Raw genomic sequence first — 7,542 nt, 5'->3', positions numbered from 1 at the left:
AACCTCTCTTTCTTTGGTCATGTGGAGATAGGAGTTTTGTACCATAAAAGGCATAGCCCAAAGTGTCAATTGTTTAGCTCCCTAAGAGGCAGGCCCATGGTCGTCTTAAATGCCAGCAGCAGGTTGAAGTCACCTGGAATGGTGTTTCAGAGAAATCCTCTTTAGTATAGGGAAGGCTTGTAGTCTGAGAAATCATTCCATGTTGGAATTGGGAATAAAGACAGTCCTCTCACCATCCTTCTAAAGTGGAATTTGCCAACTGCTGGCCCACAGGTTATCCCCAGAAGGGATTATATAGGCTGCAGTGGTAGCTGAATGGTGTTTTACATTTGAATTAATTGCCAATGTTTAAAAATCATTAGATTTCACTGCTTCTCTCAAAAAATCTGGCAACTCTCGAGCTGCGTTCCCACATGGCGACCATCTGCTGGGGCTGAGTCGGGGCTGCTTACACTCACAGGGGCGTGTAGTATCAAGTGCCCCCTCTCCCCACCACTCCCCGGTGTTTGCTGGTCTTTGCTCTTCAGTATGGCTCACCGTCACCATTTGAATAGTTCTTTACAGCTGGGACACTTCAACCAGGTTTACTTCACCCAGACTGATAAATACATAATAGTAAGCATGGCTTGGACACCAACCAATAGGAATTATTACAGGCCCTGCTTTTACAACCTAGAAGAGTTCCTGGGCTCCCTGCTACATTATCAACCCCTTGGTTGTAGGACTGTTCCCAGAGAGACTAGGAGATCACCCAGGGCACCTGGGGTAGTTTGGGGGTGCCTGGGGAGTTTGAGCCGGCAGATATCTTCCAACTGATGTGGGAGTGACTGTAGTTAGTGCTGAATACCAGCCTTGCCTTAGGCATTTAAATTTGTGATCCTAGCTATAAAGTTAAGTTCTCTGTCCTCAGCGGATATAAACGGACCAAGCTAGAGGGTACCACTCCCAAGGTGAAAACTGTTCCAAACCTTCTGCATTCAGTATTCCCTATTATTACAACTTCACCCAGGTTTTTTTTTTTTTTTAAGGCAGTTTCTCAGAGAAAATGTTAAATGGCACGTGAATGACTTCAAATAACATAAGTCCTATGAGCAGGGAAAAACATGCTTATTGATAGAGAATCTGGAGCAACACAGTCTTTATATTTCTGTCTTCCATTTGAATTTCATGCAGCATTTAATTCATGAATTGCCACACTTGATTATGTTTTAATTTAAAGTATTAAATGACTTTCTGTACATTATAACCGCAACCTTCAGAATCTCCTAAGAAGCTTCATACATAGTCCATATCGACATTTCTCAATATCTGCATTACTGATATTTTAGACCAGATACGCTTGTTTGTTTGTTTGTTTGTTTGGAGATGAAGTCTTACTCTGTCGCCAGGCTGGAGTGCAGTGGCTTGATCTCAGCTCACTGTAACCACTGCCTCCCAGGTTCAAGCGATTCCCCTGCCTCAGCCTCCCAAGTAGCTGGGATTACAGGCACGCACCGCCACGACCCGCTAATTTTTTGTATTTTAGTAGAGATGGGGTTTCACTGTGTTAGCCAGGATGGTCTCGATCTCCTGACCTTGTGATCCACCCGCCTCAGCCTCCCAAAGTGCTGGGATTACAGGTGTGACGGACCAGATACTTTTTTATCGGAGGTGAGCCGGGGCCGTCCTGTGCATTGTAACATATTTGCAGCATCCCTGGTCTCGACCTTGTTGATGCCAACAAGAATCCTCAGTTGTGACAACCAAAAATTGCGAAATGTCTCCTGGAAAGCAAATGATTCTCAAGGAAGAGCCACTGAATTATGTATCCCACAACTCAAAAGATTCATGTGGCCAGTGATGGTCCTGTTTACAGTACAAGTGTAATATCATAATGTATCAATAGGAACATAATGATGACTTATTTTTATATTACTACTATTAATAATAGCAATTTGACAATTTGTGACTTTGTCTAAACTGACCTTCTAATTCTCTTTTTTCTTTTGGGAAGATTTGAAAAAGGATAGTTTTAGATAGTCATTTGGTTTCTCCAGACTTTTTGTTTTTGTCTTTTGGGGGTGTAAGAGAAAGCACATACAGCTTTGCTTTATGTTCCCCATCTCATTAAAGTCCTAACTAACTTTTATATTTTGGGGAACATTTGGTATGATTGCAAGGTCTTTCCTCAAGAATACTTACTGTGACTGATTTTGAAAACACACATGTGCTTAATTAACTACTTTGTCTCCAAATACTAGACTAGAAAGAAGAATCAGAGAAGTTATGTTTTTTTTCCACAGCCAAAGGTTGCTTATAGCTTTAATCCTCACCATTTTCTATGAGTTCTTCAGAGCTAAGGATTCTTGTGCCCAATTTGCAGAGGCAGTTTGTGAAATAGTTTTTCTTACTCTGTTCGGGGTATTTTCCACAACATTACAATAAACTACTACTCAAATTGACAGGGAACATTGCTAAACTCTGAAAGTGCTTTTGAAACCAGAAAAAATGATTACATTAAGTCCAGTGTTGTTTTAATATTTAATAAAACCAGCATTCACCTAGTTAAGAGCTTTTATAGCTGTACTTGTCTCCCTTCTCCCATCACCTGCCTGTAATAAACACTGTAGAATCAGCCCCAGGAATGGCTTTGAAATCCTTTCCTCCTCCTCACCTACCCTTTAACATTTGCGTGGGCACTCATTTTGTCTCCCCTCATTTATTGCAGTGGCCTCCAATTAGAGTCTGGCTTTCTCAAATCGTTCACCATTTTCATGCCACAATTATGGTGTGTGAACCGAAATCTGACTTTATGTCTTTACCTAAAAACTTCCAATCATTTTCCATTGCTAACAAAAGTCAAATTCTACATGATATATACATATGTGTCATCCCCAATAAAGTTCCCAAGCATCTTTCCACCCACAGGTCCTGCCAGTTCCCACTATGCACCAATTCTTAAGCTCGCAGGCTACTGACAAAAGAGCCCACTCCATTCTTTCCCATTTTTGTGTCCCCTTGGTTTGTGACACCCTCTGCTATGCTACCTAGAAATGGTCTACTACTTCTGGCTGAGTGCAGTGGCTCTTGCCTGTAATCCCAGCACTTTGGGAGGCAGAGGCGGGCAGATACCTGTGACGAGGAGTTTGAGACCAGCCTGGGCAACATGGTGAAACCCTGTCTCTACTAAAAATCAGTCAGGTATGGTGGTGGGACACTGTAATCACAGCTACTTGGGAGGCTAGGGCAGGAGAATCACTTGACCCCAGAGGCAGAGGTTGCAGTGAGCTGAGATAGTGCCACTGCACTCCAGCCTGGGCGACAGAATGAGACACTGTCTAAAAAAAAAAAAAGAAAGAAAGAAAGAAGAAAAGAAAGAAAGAGAGAGAGAGAAAGAAAAGAAAGAAAGAAGAGAAAGAAAGAAAAGAAAGAAAGAAAGAAAGAAAGAAAGAGAAAGAAAGAAAAGGAAAGAAATAAATGTTCTACTACTTCTTCTAAACTCTTCTGCAGTATCCCCATTCCTCTATGTTCTACACTCTCCTGGGGAACTGAGCCTCTTCTTCCCAGCTTTTCTGAATCTTCTACAGTTGCATTTTATAATGTGGTCTTAGAACTATTGATTTTAACATCTGTCTCCTACACTAGACTGTGAGTCTCTACAAGACAAAGAACTGTGTGTGATTATTTTTTAATATGTATACCCTTCAATTGGTAAAGGTCTATCACATAGAAAGACAGTTTTTAAAATATTTATTTCATTTACTATAAAAAGGGTCTATCACATTGAATGTAGATATTTACTGAGTAAATGTCTTATTTGAAAACTTATAGTCTATCTAAATAGTTTATTCAACAAATATTCATTGAATGTTTTCAGTGCTGAAGCTCCTAGGTAATTAACATACATTCATAGATATAGAAAATAATGGTATCAATAAACTTCCATAAGAGTTTATAAATGAGAGAGATTTCTTTGAATTAGAGAGGTTACTTTTCAGTGAGTTTTTTAATTCAGGCAGACCTAAGTTAGATACTATTATATAAAATATACAACACTGCACAGTGCCTAGCACTTATAAAAAGCTAAATATAGTTTGGTTAACATTATTATTATTATTATTATTGATGAGAGGAAATATCTCAAATTGAAAACATCCACATAATGTGAGATAACAAAGAACTGCAATTTTAAAAACCTATCATCTCTAACCAAAATATTTTTCTATAGTTCGATTTATTTTTTAACTTCATGACTGTATTTGTTGAGTCCAGTTAAACAAGAAAAATGCATAAGTAGAATCAGCTAGAGTGAAATGTGCCAAGTATGAAAATATGGACCTGCCACTACCCCTGAAATTTTATGATTTCCACTTAATGTGTAAAAATGTAAATGAAGCTAAGAAATAAAAGTAAGTTATGAAATAAACGATCGATTTTTTTTTCTTTTTTTTTTTTTGAGACAGAGTCTCGCTTTGTCACCCAGGCTGGAGTGCAGTGGCGCGATCTCGGCTCACTGCAAATTCCGCCTCCCGGGTTCACGCCATTCTCCTGCTTCAGCCTCCCGAGTAGCTGGGACTACAGGCGCTCGCCACCACGCCTGGCTAATTTTTTGTATTTTTAGTAGAGATGGGGTTTCACCATGTTAGCCAGGATGGTCTCGATCTCCTGACCTCGTGATCCGCCCACCTCGGCCTCCCAAAGTGCTGGGATTACAGGCGTAAGCCACCACGCCCAGCCAAAAGATGGATTTTTAAATGGTATATTTCTTCTTTCTTTCCCCTTCCTTCCTTCCTTCCTTCCCTCCTTCGTTCCTTCCTTCCTCTCTTTTTCTTTCCTTCCCTCCCTCCCTTTCTTTCTTCCTTCCTTCCTTCCTCCCTTCCTCTTCCTTCCTTCCTTTTTTTTTCAGGGATAGGGTCTTGCTTTGTTGCCCAAGCTGGTCTTTTACTCCTGGCTTCAAGGGATCCTCCCACCTCAGTCTACCAAAGTGCTGGGATTACAGGCATGAGCCACTGCACCCAGCTTTTAAATGGTATATTTCTTTATGGTATAGGTAGCACCTTTCTATTTATAATAACATCTGATTCATTAGATAGATGGTATCATTAACCACATATCTGAGTGTCTTTTAAGCAAAGAATAGACAGTGGTCCCCATTTATGATGGAGCGTAAATAGGATATTGTCTCTTTCTATAGCTGAATGTTTTCATTTTATGCCACATAGTGGTAAAAAAGTTTGCGCAATAGTGATTTTTTATGAGATCAAATTTATTCAGGTAAATTATATTGCCTATGGACAATCCAAGGTTTTTGATTCTTTTTTTTTTTTTTTTTTTTTTTTTTTTTTTTTTTGAGGCATGGTGGCTCACGCCTGTAATCCTAGCACTTTGGGAGGCTGAGGTGGGTGGATCACCTGAGGTCAGGAGTTCAAGACCAGCCTGCCTGACATGGCAAAACCTCCTGTCTACTAAAAATACAAAACATTAGCTGGGCGTGGTGGTGCATGCCTATAATTCCAGCTGCTCAGGAGGCTGAGGCACAAGAATCGCTTGGACACAGGGGGCAGAAGTTGCAGTGAGCCGAGATCGCACCGCTGCACTCCAGTCTTAGAGACAGGGTGAGACTCCATCTAAAAAATAAATAAATAAATAAATAAATAAATAAATAAATAATAAAACATACATTTGACAAATTTTTGCTCAAAACATTTAGTCAAAACAGACAAATATTTAAAGGATATAGTTGTATTTGTTTTCATATTTGTTGACATTTGAAGTGTGCTGTCCAATAAGTTAGCCATTAGCCACTTGTGGCTTTTGATCACTCAAAATGAGACTAGTCTAAATTGAAGTGTGCACTGGGATCTCAAAGACATAGTACGACAAATATTATAAAATCGGTAATATATATAAAATAGATCATATAACTACATATGATTACTTGCTGGAATGACATTTTGGATACATTGAATGAAATGTTAAAATTAATTCTACCTTTAAAAATGTGGCTATTAGAGAATTTTAAATTATATATACGAATCATATGAATCACCTTTTATTTCTCTTAAGACAATGTTGGTTTCGACGCTTTGTTCCTACAATGATGCATACCATTGTTGTCCATTTTTACTGTGTTAAACATTACTGAAAAAGAATTAAGAGATCAACTGTTCCAGCAACCAGATTTTACAAATGAGAAAACAGAGGTTCAGAGACATTTTTGCGTAGGGTCAAGAGACTGACTAATTTGAGACACAGCAGAACTCAAGTATATAGCTCTAGATTTCCAGTCTTGAAATAAGTTACTGGCAAAGTAGCGGATATCAATGGACAGTTGTTAGTAGAACAAATGGATAAATACTGTCTTCATGCTGTGCTGCATTCATCTTTTTCTATGAGATTCTGACGTGAATCTTCTTTGTGTGCATTGGGGAGAAAGGCAAAGCAATTGTGTTCAGTAACAATAGTGGTAAAGTTAGCTTCATAAAACACTGAATACATTCCAATATGGAGCCTTTCATAGTAAGAGATATGACTGATGGAAGGAACACATTAAAATATCTCTGACCATCCCAATACTCCAGTGACTTTGTTTACAAAGTAGGAAGAATGAGACTGTGTCAATGAATGAAAAATAAAACCTATATTTCTTGGGAAGGAGGCATCTATCTTTTTCTATTTGTAAATGCTGACGAGCAGAGTTTAAGGAGGGCTAATGTCACCCATTCGTCTTAATTAAAGAGTTAATTGCTCGTGTATCCTGATTTAGTCGAGCCTGAGATCATGGGAAGCCCTTGCCTCTATGTATTTTATTGACCAGTGTAATGACATCATCAGTAAGTCTCAGCATTTATTCATGCTTCAGCCTATCCTCATAATGTTAATAGCCTTGTACATGATAAAACTTTCAACAGAAAGAGTCCTTGTGCCTGGCACGGAATACAAAGAAGACAGTGGCAGACGTTGCTAAATGTCTTGCCTCAGCTGTCATTGAAGCATTCCTTCAAAGTCTAGAGTCACAAAAATAGTAAAAAGTAATTCCAAATGCTAGTTTTCAGAAAATGTTTGTGTGTGGAATCATGTAGCAAGTTTTTATGACATAGTAAATATTTGAAAGTTAGCAATTTTCATTGAATCTTACCTAACCAGGTAAGCATGTGTTACAGCGAGAATGAGAGTCTACTGTTAGTGTGTTCAAAACAAGTGTCTTAGAAATAGAGTTGGCTGGGCGGGCATGGTGGCTCACGCCGGAAATCCCAGCACTTTGGGAGGCAGAGGCGGGTGGATCACCTGAGGTCAGGAGTTCGAGACCAGCCTGACCAATATGGTGAAACCCTGTCTCTACTAAAAATACAAAAATTAGCCGGGTGTGGTGGCCCGCGACTGTAATCCCAGCTACTTGGGAGGCTGAGACAGGAGAATTGCTTGAACCCAGGAGGCGGAGGTTGCAGTGAGCCAAGATCATGCCAATGCACTCCAGCCTGGGCAACAAAGTGAGACTGTCTGAAAAATAAAAATAAAAAAGAGGAAAGAAAAGAAAAAAGAAATAGAGTTGGCTAAGGAGAA

The sequence above is a fragment of the Homo sapiens genome, chromosome 5, assembly GCF_000001405.40.
Source record: "Homo sapiens chromosome 5, GRCh38.p14 Primary Assembly".
Classification (NCBI taxonomy): Eukaryota; Metazoa; Chordata; class Mammalia; order Primates; family Hominidae; genus Homo; species Homo sapiens.
This window is presented reverse-complemented; position numbering follows the sequence as displayed.